The sequence below is a fragment of the Homo sapiens genome, chromosome 1, assembly GCF_000001405.40.
Source record: "Homo sapiens chromosome 1, GRCh38.p14 Primary Assembly".
Taxonomy (NCBI): domain Eukaryota; kingdom Metazoa; phylum Chordata; class Mammalia; order Primates; family Hominidae; genus Homo; species Homo sapiens.
In genome coordinates, this window is record NC_000001.11 from 12,462,169 (window position 1) to 12,482,450 (window position 20,282).

A 20,282-nucleotide genomic window follows, 5' to 3' on the forward strand; every position below is an offset into this window, starting at 1 on the left:
CACTTATTTGCTGAAATTGTGACAAATGACATCGAGGACACTTAGAGGGTGCCGTGAGACTATGATCAGAGAAGGTGATGGGGAGAAGGAGGGTGGCTAACCTAGTGATCAGGGGAGTTGAGACAGGCTTTTCTAGGAAAGTAATCTTTGAGGTGAAGCCTGGAGTATGAAGTAGGAGTTGGCCAGGTGAAGAGAAGAGAGAATCACCTTCCAGGTAAAAGGGAACTACTGTGTGTGCAACAGCAAAAGGAAGGAACTTATCTATGTGCCAGGCATTGTCTTTGTGCCTCCACGTGTGGAATCCCATTTAATCTTCATAGTTGATTTACAAATGAGGACAAGACAGTCCAGAGAAGTCATGGAGCTTGTCCACAGCCACACAGCTGGTGGGAAATGGTAGACCTAGACTTAGACCCAGCCTATGTCTTGACCCTGTGCCCAGCACCACTGCATTGCACCCTGCTGCCTGGGTCTGCGAGGAGGGGGCTCATTGGATTTCTCTTGTACGTGTTTCAGAGTCAGTTAGTGTCAAGATATGGCATTCCACATAGTTTCTTCCCTGCTGACTCAAGATTTACTTTACTATTACCTGCACACTGACATGATTCAGGTCTTGACCAACACTGCATTTTTGTCTGTCTGTTTCCTCTGGCCTGCCACCTTAGCCTTATCTGGACCTCAGCAGCAGAGACCATGCCCTCATGAAGGCACTGGGGAGCCGTTCACAGTCAGCACTGGCCACTCCTCATCTCAGCCCAATGAAGTTTTACATTTCCATGTAGATGAGGCACTCGGGATATAGAAAAGTTGTGCAGCTTGACTCAAAGCAGACAGTAATTGGGTAGCCTAATTGAAGTTTAACTGCAAGTTCCAACTTTGTAGGCTGCAGAAAAAAAGGAAAAAAAAAAACAACAACAACAAAGTTTAACTGCAAGTTTCATGAGACAGCGATCTGCCTAACCATTCACTCCTCCTAGAAGCAAAAGCTACCGTGATCATTGAGGCACAGCCGGTCTTCATATATCCTCAAAGGAGGGGGATTAGCTTCCACATCCCTTCTCTATTCCTGGAGGTGCCAGTAGTGGGAGAGTCATGGCAGAAGTTACCAGAGGCAAGTGGGGCAGAGGCAAGTAGGGTATATGTTTGGATCAGTGGATCAGTGTCCTTTATTGTGCAGAAAAAGCTAAAATTACAGATTCTTCTGAAGGGATACATAGCAGCCGTTTCACCAATGTCCCTCAGTCCATTTGTCCAGGTCCAGAAGTATTCATGAGGAGCTATGCGTTAGAAGAGAGCACTTGGGCTGGGCATGGTGGCTCACACCTGTAATCCAGCATTTTGGGAGGCCAAGGTGGGAGGATTGCTTGAGCCCAGGAGTTTGAGACCAGCCTGGGCAACACAATGCCCCCATCTCTTACAAAAAAAAAAACAAACCTGGATATGGTGGCGGGTGGTGTGCACCTCTGGTCCTTGCTACTTGGGAGGCTGAGGTGGGAAGATTGCTGAAGCCTGGAAGGTTGAGGCTGCAGTGAGCTATGATTGTGCCCCTGCACTCCAGCCTGGGCAACAGTGAGACCCTGTCAAACAAGGAAAGAGAACACTTGATCTGGAAAACAACAGGCCAGAGTCCCAGCCACCTTACTTATTAGCTTTGGGCCCTGGGTCAAGTCAAGACATCTATGTAAGACTCAGTTTTAGTTTTTTCATCTATAAAGTGGGGATAAATTTATCTCTCTGTTTATTCTGCTTCTCAGGGGTTTGAAGCCCAACCAGAGTTATTTTAATGTGGAAGCTATAAAGAACTATAAAAATGCTGGGTGATATTATTTTAAAGTCCTATTAAAGGAGCGCAGAGATCCTTGCAGGTGGAGAAATGTTTCAGTGCCAGTTTGTTCTGATGACACTGTATCTCTTAGGAACATACTGGCTCTAACACTATCACCGAGGGATAAATCACCCTGGTTTCTTGGAAGTGAGTTATAACCATCTCCAACCATCCCGGTTGATTGAACAGGATCCAGGGGTGTTACTCAGGGTTTTTCCCCACTGTTTAGACAACAGGGACTAACAAATGATTTGAAGGGATTAGAAGTGAGATTCTGACCGAGGGTTGACCTGAGCCCAGGGACCAAGCCAGGAATAGAACCCAAGAGTCCAAGAGTTCTGCCTCTGAGCCTGCAATTGGAATGAGACTTTCTGCTTCCTTTGTAATATTTCATCCAAGTAAAGGCTTAGATCTTAGCATCTATGTTTTAAAAGACCCAAATTTTAAGCAGATGATAGGAAAGTAAGCCATAAAACTGTGAAAGAGTACTCCTTCCAGTAATCCATCTGAAAAGTGGCCTTACAGGAAACATTGGCTCTTTTTTGTGTTTATTTGAACATGATTTTATTTATAGGGAACCCCCCCTCCTTATGTTCTTTTAGATTAAAATACTTCCAAGTTCCTCTCCTTGTTGGAGTGCGCTGGCATTCCAAGCGACAGCCACCTAACTTTCCTCTGAAATTTCCAGGCAACCCAATAGTTCTCAGGAAGGCAGGTGGGGGTGGGGAGAGAAGAGGGCGGAGGACTGCAGAGCCTTTGGCCTCAACATGAGTGTTGTGGACCAATATCCCCCACTGCATTTGTTCACTGTACAAGTATGTGTGGTTTGGAACTGAAATAAGAAACCTTTTCCAAGGCAACGTTCTGCTGGCTCAGGTTGCATCTTCTGGCCTACGTGTATTGGGCCACACTTTGTCTGTTCCCAAGTAAAGTTTATGAAAATGGCACAGATGCAGCCACACTTGAGGTGCCACTGAAGCTATGTGAAGAGCCTGCTACCCTTCAAACAGACCAGGCCCAAGCAAGGTGCCAAGCCATGTGAGAGTGCCCAGTCCACTGTGTAAATGTGACGGCCTTTGATGGTAGTGTTTGAAAAGATACTTAGTAGAAAGTTGCAGAGACCCGGGAGCAGCCATTTCACAAAAGAAGGCAAAAATACCTTTGAGAAGAAAGGAATGTCTGCCTCTGCACTATGTATTTGCTTGTTTGTTTCTCCAAATACCATCTGTTGCAGACTGGGGTGCATGACATTTTAGGTAAGTAGCAGATGAAGATTTATGAAGCTGGGCCCTGAGGTTTCCTCTAAAATATTTCTTCACCTTTTAAGTCAAGACCCAAAAGTGGGGAGAGAAGTAGGAGTTGGCAGAACTTGAAATATTTAAACTAATTTAGCAAAGCTCAGGAGTGTTGGAGCTTATCTCGTTATTTAAGTTAGATAAGGAGGAAGGGGAATTTGAAGGATAATGATAGATCAGTGTTTAAGAATACAGCCATCAGGACTGATAATGTTCTGGAATCCCGGGACCCTCGGATTGTGCACGTAGATGTAAATTCCATTTGCTCTGAGAACTTTTGAAAAAGAAAGTTTTTGGTTGATTTCACAGAAAAGATTTATGGTGGGCATATTTGACTTTTTCAGTAAAAATAGCCCCAAAACACCACCCAAAATCTGTTAAGACACTTCTCGTGAATGACCTCTTAGATGTGAAATGGAAATGGGTTTTCTTAAGGAAAGGCCCCTTTTGTTAACAATGTTTGCATGTTACTTATGACTCTCCAGGATAAAAGGACTAAGACTCTTTTGGGTCACCAGAGCCTGAATGCAGTCAGGTTGGACAGGTCAGCAAAAAGTCTGCAAAGAGGCCGGGTGTGGTGGCTCACGCCTGTAATCCCAGCACTTTGGGAGGCCGAGGTGGGCGGATCACGAGGTCAAGAGATCGAGACCATTCTGGCCAACATGTCGAAACCCTGTCTCTACTAAAAGTACAAAAATTAGCTGGGCGTGGTGGTGCGCGCCTGTACTCCCAGCTACTTGGGAGGCTGAGGCAGGAGAATTGCTTGAACCCGGGAGGCGGAGGTTGCAGTGAGCCGAGATTGCGCCACTGCACTCCAGCCTGGCGACAGAGCGAGACTCCATCTAAAAAAAAAAAAAAAATAGTCTGCAAAGAGAACTTAGGAAATGCTTCCATTAACTTTTTCATCCTAGCTGGGTAATACTGCTTTTAATTACTCTGCTCTGAGAGCAGCCATTTCTTATACTTGGTATTACACATAGGACATCAAACAGAATTGGCTTGAATTGAGCCTTTAGGGAACTTCCAAAGGTAAAGATTGAGTAAAGATTCAAATGTTTATTAGGATATACCAGTGTTCATTTTTTTCCCACTAATATTCCATTCAAGGCAGGAGACTAGGCTGATATCCCATGTATCTAGAGTGGATCAAGTCCAATATTTCTTTCAGAGTTCCTGTTCCTTAAAACTGTAAATGGGTTTTATATTTTATTCCATGTTTGGCTTAATAAGAAAATATTTTTAATTGCTACCTGGTAAAATTAACATTTCAGAAAGATCTGATATGTTATCCTGTGGCTCCTGCCTCATACTTATCTAGGAAGTTCCAGCACGCTCCTTCCAGATGAGTCCGGTACGCTGTAGTAGCATCCATATAGAGGCATGTATATGGTAGAGGTGAAAAGCTGGAACTTGTACCTGTTTGACCCTAAGGCTCTAGTTCTAATCTTTGGGCATATCTGTCTTTTGGCTTGGTGTAACATCTGCTGCTTGGGACAGCCATTGTGTTAGTTAACATGTCAGTTTCATCACGAAAAAGGCATTACATTTCAGTGAAACTGAAAAATTATTGCTATATCCAGCTGAAGGGAAGGGACTGTCAAATATCTCCTCTGTTGTCCAAACATGGCACAGTAGATATAGTGACAGTCCCTTTATCTTCTACTCACCCTTGCGTATATATTTGTGAGGTGAGAGCCATATATTCTCACTTCCTGATCTTGCCAAACCAGGTCCTTCCAGAGAATGCTTGAAGGTAGATGGGTCATTTTCTCATTCCTCCCTCTACGTGAGCAACCCCAGAAGAACACTAAGACCTGTGTTGATGACATTGGATGTCTCACTTGGCTCTGAAATTAAGCTGATGAAATTATAGGATCGGATATTTTATTTTATTTTTTTTCAAGACAGAGTCTTGCTCTGTCGCCCAGGCTGGAATGCAGTGGCACAACCTCGGCTCACTGCATCCTCCACCTCCCGGGTTCAAGCAGTTCTCCTGCCTCAGCCTCCAAAGTAGCTGGGATGGCAGGCGCACGCCACCTCGCCCAGCTAATTCTTATATTTTTAGTAGAGATGGGGTTTCACCATGTTGGCCAGGCCGGTCTCGAACTCCTGACCTCATGATCTGCCGACCTTGGCCTTTCAAAGTGTTGGGATTACAGGCGTGAGCCACCACACCCAGTCAGGATCAGATATTTTAAAGAAGCATCTTAACAGTCCTTCATGCCTTATAAGTTAAAATTCCTCTCACAGGAACGTAAGCAGAGAAATCTTATTTTCTGAGACAGGCTTCTTCCCTCTCGCTGAACTCTAAATACTGTATTCCCCTTTCACTCAAAGGCCCCAGACGATGCCATTCTCATTATAACATAACTTATGGAAAGCTCAGATCTATTGTTGGAAAAAATGCAAAGTGTGTGTGTTCATGCACACACGTGTTTGAGAAAAGCCTTTCCATTTCTGAAATCCCAAGAGTCATTTTTATGCAAGATTATCTGTTAGGAAAAAACCCACTTTTTTGGTCATGGTACATTATAATCATTTCTAGAAAGGAGAGCGTCTAATTTTTGCCATTTTTGGCATGCAGAGATGACTGACTTCATAGAAACCACACTATCCTGCTTCCAAAAGAAAAAAAAAAAACCTACTGAATTTACATCTGAATCAACATCTCTTCAAAGTCCAGTCCTTGCATCTCAACCAGCAGGTCCTTGTGCAAAGAAAATGAATGGGAAGTGTGATTTGGGGTTATTCCATTTACTTTCTGATTTGGGGTTATTCCATTTAAAAATGAAATAATGTTGCCATTATACATCTGTAGTCCCTTCTGTGTTCAGTGAATTTGTTTTTAAAACTCTAACGTGACACCTAATATTACATACATAAGATAAGACATTTGAGATTTTTGGTTTGAACTTCAAGAAAAAATAAAACGGTGTCTATTTCTTTTTGAGAAAAAATTTGTATTTTGTGCATTAGAGAAGGTTGAAGAGCCATTTGTTATTTGTGGAACTCCTCTGTAAAGGCATTGGATTTACTTATTTTTAGATTTTCATGACTATCCCATGCCTCATGTTTTTCCCTTACAGAATCATCCACCTTTGCCCAAGATAAAATTGAAATCTTTAACAAGAGGACCCAGGTTTGAGTTCAGCTCCCCTGCTCCCAGAGAGCTTTAGACTGTAAGATAATTCTGAGATACACACAGGACATTTGGACTAGCAGGGACTTAAAGACTCACTGTTGTATTACAGATTATGGCTCGGAAGCACTGAGGGAAGGAAAGATAGGTGTGGGTGTTATAATTCACCCGTGGTTTTCTTGCCCTGATGTATTTATCTGGTACTCTTTTGCCAGTCTCCTTCTCAAAGACATTTTCTTGCTAAATTTCTTACTAACTTGTCAAATGGAGGGAAAATAAGATTGAATTAGTAAAACATTCTTATCACAATATACTCTAAAAGAGGCTGGGCGCGGTGGCTCACGCCTGTAATCCCAACACTTTGGGAGGCTGGGGCGGGTAGATCATTTGAGCTCACAAGCTCGAGACCAGCCTGGGCAACATAGTGAAACCCTGTCTCTATAAAAATATACAAAAATTACCCGGGTATGGTGGCACGCGCCTGTGGTCCCAGCTACTCCAGAGGTTGAGGCAAGAAAATCGCTTGAGCCCAGGAGGTCAAGGCTGCAGTGAGCTGAGATTGCACCACTGCACTCCAGCCTGGGTGATGGGAGTGAAACCCTGTCTCAAAGAAAAAAAAAAAAACAAAAAACTTTTGTTATATTGGGCTTATATAATTCAAATTAATAATGTTACTTATCTATATCCTTAGTGGATTTACTTTAATACATTGAGGAAACCGCTTTCTGATTAGCAGAGAGAATTTGTACATATGGGTTCTTTTAGAACAGAGGGTCTCAAAATACGGTCTAGGGACCCCCTGCGGAACCCCAGATCCATAACCTAAAACCTATTTGTATATATTCATGTACTTATATATGAATTTATAGATATAACAATTTTTATAATAGTATTCTCTAATGAGTATACAGTGGAGTTTTCCAGAAGCTACACAATGTATGATATTGTAACAGATTGACTGTAGAAGCAGATAGGTGAATACAGCTGTTTTCCAGTTAGCAAGACTTAAGAGATTTACAAAAATGTGCAGGTGCCACTCTCCTCACCTTCTGTGACTCTGCATACATGCCACCAGCCAACAAACGTACCTGGTTAATTTTTTTGACAAGCTGCTCTAGTTGAAAATACAGTGATTGATAATCCATCATCTTGCTGATAAGTAGCACATATCGGCAATGATGGGCTAATTCGGACTAAACCGTAGGAGCCGCTGTAATGCAATGCTTCCCTTTGGCTTCCTGCCAACAGTTGTCAGCCCTCCTGGTTTGCTCCTGACTTTTACTGGGTTTCTAGAAGTAACAATTGGAAATATTTTATCACATATCAGAAAGACCTCTTACAATAATTTACCTAATTTAGTTCTTCACCTTAACCTACCATCCCAATAAATTTTAATTTCGGCAGGGTAGTAAGTGTAGAGCAGATTACTTCAAAGTGCAGAATCTTGTCCAAAGGCTGCTTGGTTGTGTTTGCACTGCCCTGACTCTTGCAGGTACTCGAGAAGGTGTATCTGTTTCAGAATTCACTTGCCAAAACCTCAACTTTCTCCCCTAGCAAAGTTGCTGGAGTAGGATAAACCCACAGTATTTGGATAAGCTCCTTTGAACTCCTTGTAGAAAGCAGTTTTTATGAGGCAGTTGTTCTGTGTTAACACCAGAGACAATTCCTAGCAGATTTCCCCAAACATACTTCAAACATCGATAATGGCAGGGGTGACCCAAACTGTATCATAAAATCCCAGGGACTGCAGGAGACTTCAAAGGGGAGACAGAGCAAAACCTCACTTCTCGTTATGAGGAGTATGGGTCACAGGAATCCTGGCTAGAATCCATGGTAACCTCGCGGAGTAATGCCAGGATGGACAGAGGCCAGGGCTCATCAGTTCCCTAGACTTTACTAATTGACCCCAGCAGCACAGTTAGAGTGGTAATAACTGGCACCTGCCCACCTCCTGAGGTGTTAGAGGCCAAATTACCACATGTGAAGTGCTTTTCTATCCTTTAGTGAGAAGATGCAAACCTTGAAGTGTGTTTCTATTTTTGTTTGAACTATCGAGGGCCCAGTTAATTCAGTTGAGCCAATTCTGACCTTGGGATATTCAGATCCATCACTTAGTATGTACAGGCAAATTGACAGTAGAAATTTATTGAGTCTTGAACTCCTACTATATTTCAGGCATTTAATAAGTATTAAATACTGGGAATATTTAAATAATTGAGGACAAACTGCTCTGAAGAATCACCAAGCTGTTTGGTTTGTGTGTTAATATTCTTAAGCCACTCTTACGTGTTCATTAAAGCAAGTTTCCCTATAGTTTTCTTGAAGAACTCATTTTTTAGTGATTTGACTTACTCTTTATTCTTGAAAACAACAAAATTGCATTTGTGCATATGGTATGTGTTGAGGGGGGTAATTACAGGCATTTTTTCCCTCATTACCGGGTCCGTTACAGCTCCTTGAAAACAAATAGTTATAGTTTTACTAATTGTTTATAAAATTAGCTAATGATCCTTTGATTTTTTAGTTTTTTTATACCTTAGCTGTATTTAATAAATATTTAGTATCTTCTGTGCAATTAATAAGAACAATGGGGGCCAGGCATGGTGGCTCAAGCCTGTAATCCCAGGACTTTGGGAGGCTGAAGTGGGCAGATCACCTGAGGCCAGAGTTCAAGACTAGCCTGGCCAACATGATGAAATCCTGTCTCCACTAAAAATACAGAAATCAGCTGGGCATAGTGGCACACGCCTGTAGTCCCAGCTACTCAGGAGGCTGAGACATGAGAATCGCTTGAACCTAGGAGGCAGAGGTTGCAGTGAGCCGAAATCATGCCACTGCACTCCAGCCTGGGTGACAGAGTAAGACTCTGTCTCAAAAAAAGAAGAAGAACAGTGTTTAAAAACCTGTTATTTTTACCTGAATTATTTTGCTACGACAAATTTATCTTTCAAATTAGATTTTATCAAAGTAGATATGTATTCACTTTTTTAAGTTGAAGTCTTTCTAAATGTCTAAAACCAAAACACAGTAATCTCCTGCCCTACCTTTCCCTGATTCCTGCTCCCTCAGAGGCAATCACTTTCAACACTTTGGGCTGTTTCTTCAATGTGGAGGTATTTACCTTTATATTTCATAAATAAACCAACTGCTATTTCTTGACATCATTTGACTTCATGTTGTTATACATACATGTTTCCTTTCCCCATTTTTCAGTACAGTTATATGATCCTTTTTGAATAACTTAGTATTCCATTTTTACGTTATTATGACTGTGTAAATAGTATTCCCAGTGAAGCCCCCCACCCAGGTCACTTTGATGATGTTTCCTTTTTAAATGTTGTGCTTTGTTTTTTTCTCCTTGGAGTTAGTAACTGCTCTTTCAGTATTGTCTGCTTTGTTTTCTATATGCACATTCGTAATTTATTCTCAAATGCTTATTTAGTTTCCACATTTTTTTAACCCTGGGCCTAGTAACTCGTTTTTCTTTAAAAAAGAAAAAAAAAATTTTATGTTCCTATTGCTAATTTATCCACAAACACTCTTCTGTATGTGTACAAATGCACTGAGTAATTTATTGGTTTCTAATTAAATTCTCCCTCTTGATGTCCTCTGCTCCCATCTGACTGGTTGTTGTCTAGCTATTTTTGTCTCTAAGCTATTTTTCTATAGTAGTACTATAGCAGTACTATTCTGAGTTTCTTTCTTCCATTTATTTGTTTTGGTCTTTTTCTTTCATGAATAGAGACAGTCCCCAGAGAATCTGGTGATTCTTGACTATCTGTTCTACTCCTCTTTAAAGATGAGGCACTAAAAAGCCAATTGGGAGCTCTTGGTTTGAGGCTGAGGGGGCCTTACTGTGGAATGATCAAGTGGGGACCTGCTGACTCTGGGCTCCTGTTGAGAGGAGCAAAACTGAATGGGGATGAGAGAGGGGACCTGAAGCTCTAACTGCTTCCCATGCAGCCTTTTAACCAATCTTCCTGTTTTCACCTCACTCCAGGCCTATCTGTTTCTCCTTTATGCTCCAGGCCTTCAGAGCTACTTGCTGCCTCCATCTTTCTGAAATGCAGTGGAGGCCACCATCCTAATTAGCTTTCTGCTTTGTGGCTTCCACTCCCTCAAGGCTTACATTTCAGCGCCACGTGTCCATCTGCTTTTCAGCTTCTAAAATATTGTTGACACCTTCTCTTTATCCTTTTGGATTTGTGCCATTTGTATCCCTTTGCTTTCCCTTTAGAGGGGTCTCTGGACTAGATCTGTCATGTTTAATCAGAAGTCCTATAATTTAGACTTTTCACTAATTTGTGTTTCCTTTCTTGGTGTTCTTTCCCCTTTACCCCCAACTAGTGGCTCTGAATTAGTGTGGTTTTATGAAACCCATATCCATTCAGCCATGGTTCTATGTATTATCTCATTTAGGCATCACAGCAGCTTTTGCACAGCATCTGCTCAGGCAGTCTGTGGCTCTTCTTTCCCCGAAAGATTGAGAATACATCTGGTGAGAAGCCGTTGCCAGTCCCAGCCCCTGCTTTGAGTCTGGTATTGGTCTTTAATCTCTCATTCTGTGTGTTGTAAAGAAACAGGTTGTGGAAGGCTCTTGTCAGATCCCAGGAACATGAAAGAAATAGCACACCCTACGGTAGTGACATGGCCCTGTCACCACCCCTCATTGAACCATAAAAGCTATTCAGAGGGGCCAGCAGCTGGGGAGCGACTGTACTTAGATCCTGGGTGCTGATGGGTGTTTTGTAGTTTCCAAGGGAAGTTGCTGAAAGTTTTCTTATCTTGACACTCCAAGGGCAAGAGGTCTTTCTTCAAAGAGAAGCGCTTGTTTCAGAAAAAGATGTGGAAAGGACGTAAAATCACAGGTTCTTCCCCAGTTCTGAAAAAGAAATAGGAAGGGGCAACGTGGCAGTCAGTGTGAAAAGAAACCACGCATTTGCAGGAAGCAAGAAGGGGTTCCGCAGCACTGGCTGCTTCCGGCATCTGCAGTGCGAGGGTAAACAGGCCTACTGGGGAGTCGGTTGGCCCTGGGTTTGAGTCATTGGGCTGCTGCTTGGCTGTGACCTGGAACAAGTTTTTCCCCTCTTAATCTCTCTGAGATGAGATTCCTTTGAGTCATATGCCTACCTCGGTGGGTGGTTACGTGGATTAAATTATATCATGTATATAAAGCACTCAGCCTGGCATGTGGCATGCAGGTAGGGCTCAAGAAATGGTGTCAGTGTGAATATTCTCCCCTGAATGTTGGAATGTTGTGTGAAGGTGAAACAGGGATTGTGTCCCTAGCTCTTACTTAAATTCAACCCTGTCCCCGAATTCTTGCTGACCACCTGCTAGAGTGTGAGGACTAGGAGTTCATGTGCTTGGCTGGGCTTTTGTCCTTCCCATTCTCTTTCTTCACACAAAATGAACAGTTGAACTCAGGCCACCAAACCTGGTTGAGTTGCTGGGTGGAGGGACTCTCCTGGGCTCTGAGCCTTTGTGTGTGGGAACCGCACTGGAAAAGGTGTGCAGAGGCCACGAACTTGCTCTGAACCCACTTGTGAAGAGCAGGTGACCCCAAACTATTGTTAGTGTCTGCTGTAAATGATATGCCTCTGGGTTCGAGCAGAGTTCAGCCAAAAGCCCCACATGACATGGAAATCTGTCCTGGAGCCAGGTTTGTCGGGTAAAAGTTATGTAGCAAATGTCTCCAAACATTGGCATCTGTTGTCTGCCGAGACTAGGACAACCGAGAATGATGGAGTGCTTAAGGAAATTAGGATGGGGCATGCGACCCTGTAACAGCTGATAAACTGTTTCAGGCCACCGTGGCTCATCCAGCTCTTTTGATAAACAGCTTTAAAAGCATTACGTGGTTTGGAAAGCATTCTTCAAAAATGGTTATATTTTCCAGACGCATGACAGTCCACTGTTCAGTATTATTTAAGGGTTTTAAATTGTAGAATCAGATTCCTTTTCAGTGGGGCTCTTGGAACTGTCGAGGGCTGATCTGTCTGACTCCCACCAGGACAATCTCACAACAATATTATTATGTAGGTCGGGGTCCCCTAGGTCTGTTAAAAAAAAAAAAGTTCAGGGCTAAGCGTTTAAGAGGAAAAACTATTTCTTTCATTTCTAGCTAAGTCTGATGGGCCCTTTCAAACACTGCTTTCATCATGCACCTTTTATTTCACGATTTCTGCATAATGAAAATACAAGATCGATAACTGTGGATTATCGTAATGCCTTGAGCCTTTGAAAATGAACATTTTCTAGATTATAAATGTTCCCTTTGTAATTCATTTCAAACTTCATCCTCCCATTTGTCCTAATTCCCGAAATTTAACTGTTGCCTTTTGAGCCTCCTAGGAAATTCTGGGTATCCTTTAGGCAAGGGAGGTAGCTCTTGGGGGAATAGCATTCAGGCCACAGGCAATTCATTTGCGACTTGGGCTCTTCTTAGAACATATGATAAGTACAACGCACTGTAGTGACAGATTTTTTAAAAACCCTATTAAAGCCCAATATACTAATGCAGATTTTTTTTTTTTAAGTTTTAGAGAGATTCATGGGATTTTATTCTTTTTCCCAAAGGCAGTGGTGGAGCTGACAGAGTAGCATGGAGCCTCGTCCTGATGTATTGTGCGGAAGTGGCAGCAGTTCACATTCATTCAGTTTGTCAGCATAGGATCAGTTCCTTCTTGACTCAACTCTCTGTGATCAAAATAAGCTATTGGATGTTCCCTTTGGGTACTGGAAGCAGCTTGGCCCCTTGGCAAGAGAACAGGATTGCAAATCACAAGAGCAGAGCCCTGACTCCAGCTCTGATGCTACTGTGCTTTGTGACCTTGTGCAGACAGCTTTATATCCCCATCTCAGGTCATTCTCCCCCATACAAAGGGGGAGAGGGTCATCCTTGCCCTGGTCATGTCTGCATGGCTGAGGTGAATAACTAGTTGTGTAACTTCCTGGAGGAGTGGCACAGAGGAAGCTCCCTTCCTAGGGCTGGCTCTGCCATCAGGGAGGAAGCTGGATATTAGAATGAAGAAAAAGCCCATGCAGAATATATGGCAGCCCGATAATGGATTCTAAAAATAAAAAAGCACTAGGTTAATCTGCAGCTGTAGTGTACCTAAAGTATTCTTTGGCAGGTTGTGGCCCTAGCCTAATCCCCAGCTGGACTTAGCACCATTTAAGTGAGTTACATCTCATCCCCGCAAGGGATTGAGTCTGTAGCCAATTTGGCCTTGTCACCACTTCAGCCCTCCCTCTGATTTCACCTTTGGGAAAACTACAAAGTGGCCCCAGACATACATAGCAGGCTTGATCACATGGGTGGAGTCTGTCAGGACAGCATACATCAAATAAAATGTCCAGGGAACCTGTTGTAAATAAACCACTTCCCGCATGCTCAGTCATCGTGGAGGTACTTGAATGTTTAGTTTCTTTTAGCTGATGGCCAAGAAATCAATGTTTAAAAAAAAAAAAACAAAAAACAAAAAAACACCTTGACAGAGGCATTTTGTACAAGAATGGTGTGTGGGTGTGAAAAAGTAAATTCCAAAACATATTTCCTTTTAGTTCCCAAACCCATATTAGATGAGTACTTCTTAGCCTTGGCCACAGTGCTAGAGTAAATAGCAGTGTCACATAGCTCGTGGAACAGGCAAACCACAGAATGTACAAGAGAGAAGCGTGCACACCAGTGAGTCTGCTATGGCAGCTCTCTTTGTCCTGGTTTCTACATCTCATTTGTAAGCAACTTGTGTTCCTGCATTTTCAGAGTTTGGCCAGTTTATTTACTTAGAATTGCATGTTCCTGGAATATTGTCATAAAAGTGATCCTGAGATAGAAAAAGTCAACAGGAAGCAGGGGCATTGAGTTTATAAGTTCTCAGTCTGTCTTGGCCCATATTAAAGTCTCATTCTCAGGGGTAGGTCCAGCTTTCCAAATTTTAATATATCAGAGACTCCTGATGCATCTGGGCTCATGATGGGCCAAAGTAGGCCTTCAGGAGTCCTCGTGTTACACACTCAACGCCTAATGGAGACTGGATTCATTTACGTGTATTAATGTAACCTGCGTGATCATGTGAGTGCAAGTGCTTTGTAGATTGTCCTGGGAGATGTGGCATATTATGACTAAAGACTTAATTGAACCCTGAACATGTATATGAATAACTGGAGACAGATTGACTGGATTACACATTTTTCTTGAAAATTTCCTAAATTTAGCCTACCTCTTTGTTGCCTTTTATTTCCCAGCTTAAGTGGTTCTCTATAACACTATATTTTAAACAAACCAGAACAAATAGTATACAAAAGCATAGACAAGAGGGATATAACAAGAGATGGTTTTCTGTGATCCGTGGCACCTCCTCTCTACCCTGCCTCCACCACCAAAAGGGGCTTTAAATTAAGATTCGGAATGGCAAATTCACTTACCAGCTCCAAACACAGTAGACAAGGAAACCTTGTGAGGAAAATCCGAGAGTATATTTACAGTTTCTGTTCAGAAATACATAGCTTAACTTCGAAGGAGGAAGCGTGACTTTTCACCTGCAGATAGAACTAGGGTCTGATTTGAAACAGACCACTGGCTTCACTGAACCCCATCAAAGAAGTCTGCTTCTGCCCGGAATTGGAAAGTGCCAGTGGGCATGTAGTTGCTAGTATGGGATTTCTGTTTTTATTTTTAACAAGCTTGGGCCCAACTCTTAGTATCAAGATGGGTGAAGACAAAACTGACCAGAAAAACACGTATCAAGTCAGCAGTGGCTCACCCCTCAGAGGCCATTTTTCCCACCTGCTCCTCTTATACCTTTGGTTTGTTTTTGGTTTTGGATTTTTTCTCTATGTTCCTCCTACTCTTTCTTTCTCTATTTTGCTTGGGCCTTCGTTAGAAGAGTTCTAGTAATCATTTCAGACTTCCAAAATTCAACCCAGTAGCCTCATTTTACAGGTGGACCCACTAATACACAACAGCTCGATGTGACAAACCATAGACTCACAGTTAATCACTTGGAGAGCCTGGATTCACCTCCGCGATGACCTGCCTTTCCAGCCCTCCAGTGGCGTCCTCTGTAGTGAGTTGTAAATGTGCCACTCTAGAACATTCCAGGAAAGCCCTCCTCTTGGGCTAAACTCTAAAACTAAAATGAAGTCCTGCCCATGTGAGCTGCTTGTTTAACACTTTGGATGCTAATCAGAGCATTAATGAGAACACATGGATAGATTCGGCAGGTCTAATGCTTGGGACCTTCTCCTATTTGATTCCATAAGACTAAATCCCCTATAAACACTTCCCTCCTGTGCACACACACATGCATTCACATACAGCACTCACGTATCCCTCCCTTATAGCCAAAGACCGAAAAATAAATTTTTTTTTTCTACATTAAAAATAAGACCAGCTAGTAACCAGGGTTGGCATTCCCATCTCCTGTGGAACCTGGAAGGACTAGCAGATAGCTATAGAGATCTGTCTCCTTTTTAGTGTGGTTGTATTAAGGGCAATCTTGCCTCCCATGGCACCCCAGAAAATCCAGGAGTTCAAGTGGGGGTGCACTGTAGGAGGACTCAGCAGCTGTTTTATGGAAGGTTCGTCAGGGATCAGACTGAAGATTTTGCTTTTGTGAGAACAAAGTGAAATGTGACATTCAGGAGCAGCTCGGGGCCTATATATAGGGGCCCAGGGCCTGCTGGGATGGGGTTTTACACTTGGGCTGTCCTTTTGCCCTTCCCCTGAACTCTTTTCACTTCAGTCATGAGCAAACAGTCAGTGCCTGAACTAACAACCCTGTAGTCCTCCGAAGCACGGCTGGCTTACAGTACCGAACAAAGGGAGGGAGTGCCGCGTGGGCCGGCCCAGGCCGAGGAATGCGGCTTCAGGGTTCTGCTCCATAAATTTAACCAGCACGACGAAAAGGAGATAATATGAGCCTTCGTGATGATCTGAAAGGGGGAGGTTCTGTGTCCCATTGATTGCGGTCTGGCCCAATGCCAGGCCCAAGCCTGACCGACAGTTGAACCATATCATTAAGGCGTGTAATACAGCTCGAGTCTTGTACTGCCGCCAATGAGTGCATATCCACAGGGCAAAAGTTTATAAAGAGTCGAGGCTGTCCTGTTTAACCCTCTCACACTGCATGTAATAGAACCAGCTGCCATTCAGAACTTGCCCATCTGAGGTCATAAAGGAAAGCCTGCACGTTTCTTTTCTTCAAACAGCTTTTCAGGACTGGGGAGAGGAAGAAACGCTGTCTAGAGAGGGTCAAGGCACGGTGATGTTTCTCTCTGGAGAAGCAAAGCAGTCTGCCTCCCTCCCCCCGGCCAGAAACGGGACACCTTAGTGCTTTCTTCAGAGTAGCTCTCTGTTTGTGGTATAATGTTGCTGGAGGAAACAGGGCTGACACCACAGGAAACCTGCCTGTCTCCAAGGAGGCCGCATCGGTGGCAGAGGTGGGTCAGATGCCGGCCGTGGAGTGCTCTTGTCAAGCTTGGGATGATGCCGTTTTCCTTCCCCATCACCTCGAAAGCTGTTAATAGCCTTGCTTTCTGGCCTTCCACAGCTACGCCCAGGTGCTAAAACAGAGCAGGTGGAAGGCCGCCCCACGGAGTGGCCTGTGAGCCCAGAGTTCTCACTGTCCGAGGCCGGTGGCCCCATGGGAACTCTGTCCATTCAATAGGGAGGGCATGTAGAAATAGGCACATTGTCACAGCAAGGCCTGGAGTGGCCTGGGTTCTTACAGTGGGCACTGCATTGAGGAAATGGGCAGACAAACAAGGATTTAGCATAAGTATAGTCAGAAAGAAAGGGCTGCCTGTGTTCAAAGGACAAAAGGAAGAAAGTGGGCGAAGGGGTAGTTTAGTCCTGTCCATCAGCCAGTCACGTTCTTTGGCCAAACTCGGGACCTGCCTGTGCTTTGTCCATGGTGTCCAGGAAGAAATCTGTGTCTGTCACTTCCAGATTGCTGCTTGTCTGCAATGGACAATGCCTCTTAGGCAGACACCTGCTCGGGATGACAGTGCTGCAGAAATTGATCCAAAACATTGACTAGCTTGCATGGTATCGCTGTCATTAGTATTCAGTCTTCACAACCACCCTATGAGGTGGGTGCTATACTTTCCCCATTGTACAGATGGGAAAGTTGAGGCACACAGGGGATACGTAACTTGTCTAAGATCTCAGAGGTAGTAAGGAAGGGAACCAGAATGTGGACCCTGGCCAACTGAACACAGAGTACATGCTCCTAATCTCTGTGCTGCTTCTGGGCCATCTCTCGGTCCCTCACATCGAAAGACCTCATGATTTCAATCCAAAGCATCTGACCAAGTGTTAGGTCTACTTCCTTTCGATTCTTGGATATGAAGGGTAGGAGCTTAATATCTGCCTATAGCCCAGAAGATTTGTGCAAAGACCCTGGTTCACTTGGAGAGGAGGTACTATAAAATTTGGACCCCACAATGCGAATGAAGGGTATGTATTGAATTCCCTCAGCCCACCAGCTTAACACAGAGACAGTGTGAGGGATATACTATAGCTGGGAAGCTTGGAAGGGCTCATGTTCAAGGGCCTCTTTGGGCCAAACAGCAGTGGGCCTGAGCATGGAGAGACCCTGGCCTTTTAGTGCCAGTGCCTAGAGAAGCAGGTCACTAAGCTTTGTGCCCAGGAGCTGTGCTGTCCCTGGTCCATCCCTGTGTACCCCATTCCACTCCTGAAATAATGAACTACTGCAGCCTTCCAAGTTCACAGTGTGCCAGTTTGTCACAGAATAGCAGTGACACTTCTCTGCTGCAACCCATCTTTGCTCTGCCATGCTGCCAAGACCATCTTCACCAGGCGGTAACCTGGGAACTCCAGCTGGTACACAGTACAAGAAGCCTCCGCAGTAGACTGTCCCAGGTGCATGTGCTCAGTATGTCATAGCCATCTCCTTTTGGAGGCCAGGGAGAGCTTCTGTTTGGGTGCCACGGATCCTGGACAGAAGCTTTCTAGAGGTAGGAGAAGAGACTAAATGGCTGGCCAACCCAGAGATTGTTGGATTGTGTTATGATTCCATGGTCAAAGTGCTTTAAAAACCTAGAAATTGGCTCTGGTAGTGAGTCCCAGGATGGAGCTAACTTACGATCTGGACTCCATTACATGATTGCTAATCCTGAAGTTCAGCAAACGTTGGTACTGGCTGACTTTTAATGGAGTACCTGTTTGAGGGTTCTCCTCATCATGTATTTAAGGTTAAATTGTATAAAGGAATTCTGCTGCTCTTTTGAAATTTTCTGGTTCTGTTTAACCATACCTAAAAATGCCATGAGGTAGCCAGATGATTGACTAACTGGGATTTATGGAAATTCTTATCTGCAAAAATCTCAAGACAAAGAGGGCACTAACTAGAAGGTTCCCAGTGCTTTATGTAACATGCAGAAGGAAGTCTGGTCTCAGCTTCTTGGATCTGAGCAATCCTTTGGAAAGGGAGCAATGAAGAGCAGTAACTGAAGACTCATTTCCTGCCTTCTGTGTGACTCACTCTCCTTTGTCAACTTCAAGTTTGCCCTAGGCCTGCTTGCTTCTCTCCACCCCAAGGAACTTGGTCTTTGGAAGACACAGGCACCTGCCCTCTCTGTCTGCCTTTTGCCCCCAGGTCCAGAGGGAGAAACAAACCCTCAGTTGGAGGAAAGTCTAGAGCACAGGCTTTGTGTTGCTCAGAGAAGCATGACAGGAAGTGGTGCTGTTGCCTCTGCATTGGCCGACTCCTGGCTGCACCTGCTTTTCCCAGAGGCACGGGGAGGCCCAGGCAGGGGCCCAGGGCCTGCTGCTGATCAGTTTGTCCTGCTTGCAAGTCTGCATCCCAGTACCCAACGGGGCCAAGTAGAAAAGGCACATAGTGTAGTGTGAGCCGTAGCTGTCACCAGATGGGTCTTTCCCCTCCGTGCCCAACCCCTTCCCTGACCTGAAAGGGCCTAGCCTCTTTCCCCACTGGCTTCCACCAAGTTCTAACACATTTTATATATATCGATTTCCAGGCTTGTAGAGGCAAGACCTACAGTCCAGGAGTTCAAATGGATTCAGTGTTGTTGGTTCTTGTTTCCTAGAAGGACAAGTGCTCTGAAGGTTTGGTGTCAACTCTGACCCAAGGGGTGTATCTGATTTTTATGAAGGCACAGAAATGCACCTGAGGTGACCCCAAGTCCTTCTCTTTTATTTTTTGATTTCCCACCACCTGGATCATTAATTCTGCTTTCAAGGGGGATGGGGAAAGGAGAACATTTCAAAGCAAAGTTGATTTGGTCTCTGAACCAGCTTGTCTTCTAGGCTGTAGTTCACCCTGATGAGAATCAGAAAGGACAGTCTGTAAACCCCTTCACTCTAGTGACTCTGCAGCTGGGGAGCCTCAAAACCAGTTCCAGATGTTCTCTCTCCCTATATTGGCCAGAAGGGAATTTCGGGCAAGCAAGGAGGCAGAGAGCTTTTGCCCATTCATTGAGTACCCCTGTCTGCAAACTGTGTCTTGCTTCATGGCACTTTAGGGAGAGTGCTGAGCACCTGGGTCCATTTGGGACCAGCCAGCCCTTCCTGTTCCTCGGTTAGAGGCATGCTGCTCCAAGCTGGCTGGTTACTGCAAGCAAGAGAAGCCCGCCTTCCTGCTGTTCAGGGTCAGAAAGCAAGACCGTGCTGGAGAAGTAAGTCAGGCAGGCTAGGAAGGAGACCTGCAGATGACCCTTGGGTTAACAAAGCAACTTTCACGGCCCTGTTCACCACCAGCTAGGATAGTACAGGGCTTTGCCTCCCAATCTTGGGAGACGAGGCATAGATAGTAATGGTCAACTGATGGCCCTTTACTCTTGAGAAACTCCACCCAGCCTCCCCTTATCCAGAAGAAAGCCATTCCTGACTAAGCCTGGCCATTCTGACGCCTTCTTTCTTAGTCTGCACCCAGCCTGTGCTGTATGCGGTATATGATGGTAGAAATTTGCACTCTTCATGCTTTGATTTTAAATGCATATTAGACATTTTGGCATTTGTGCCTGAATGCTCTCT

At 44.2% G+C, this 20,282-nt stretch overlaps 1 protein-coding gene across 2 annotated transcripts in view, besides 5 other annotated features; it reads left to right on the top strand.

The window, feature by feature from the left end:
* VPS13D (vacuolar protein sorting 13 homolog D) overlaps positions 1–20,282 on the top strand; it is a 282,018-nt gene that overhangs the window by 232,139 nt on the left and 29,597 nt on the right. The window lies entirely within an intron of this gene.
* Positions 11,726–12,020: a silencer, noted in NCBI's record as "tiled region #15009; K562 Repressive non-DNase unmatched - State 5:Enh". NCBI's record gives its function as "represses a minimal TATA promoter and a strong SV40 promoter by Sharpr-MPRA in K562 cells {active_cell/tissue: K562}" and the evidence as "EXISTENCE:reporter gene assay evidence [ECO:0000049][PMID:27701403]".
* Positions 15,579–16,436: an enhancer, noted in NCBI's record as "H3K27ac-H3K4me1 hESC enhancer chr1:12537802-12538659 (GRCh37/hg19 assembly coordinates)". NCBI's record gives its function as "activates a minimal SCP1, AML or CMV promoter by ChIP-STARR-seq in primed H9 embryonic stem cells {active_cell/tissue: H9 hESC(primed)}" and the evidence as "EXISTENCE:reporter gene assay evidence [ECO:0000049][PMID:30033119]".
* Positions 15,926–16,220: a silencer, noted in NCBI's record as "tiled region #8719; K562 Repressive non-DNase unmatched - State 5:Enh". NCBI's record gives its function as "represses a minimal TATA promoter and a strong SV40 promoter by Sharpr-MPRA in K562 cells {active_cell/tissue: K562}" and the evidence as "EXISTENCE:reporter gene assay evidence [ECO:0000049][PMID:27701403]".
* Positions 16,437–17,293: an enhancer, noted in NCBI's record as "H3K27ac-H3K4me1 hESC enhancer chr1:12538660-12539516 (GRCh37/hg19 assembly coordinates)". NCBI's record gives its function as "activates a minimal SCP1, AML or CMV promoter by ChIP-STARR-seq in primed H9 embryonic stem cells {active_cell/tissue: H9 hESC(primed)}" and the evidence as "EXISTENCE:reporter gene assay evidence [ECO:0000049][PMID:30033119]".
* Positions 19,026–19,544: an enhancer, noted in NCBI's record as "H3K27ac-H3K4me1 hESC enhancer chr1:12541249-12541767 (GRCh37/hg19 assembly coordinates)". NCBI's record gives its function as "activates a minimal SCP1, AML or CMV promoter by ChIP-STARR-seq in primed H9 embryonic stem cells {active_cell/tissue: H9 hESC(primed)}" and the evidence as "EXISTENCE:reporter gene assay evidence [ECO:0000049][PMID:30033119]".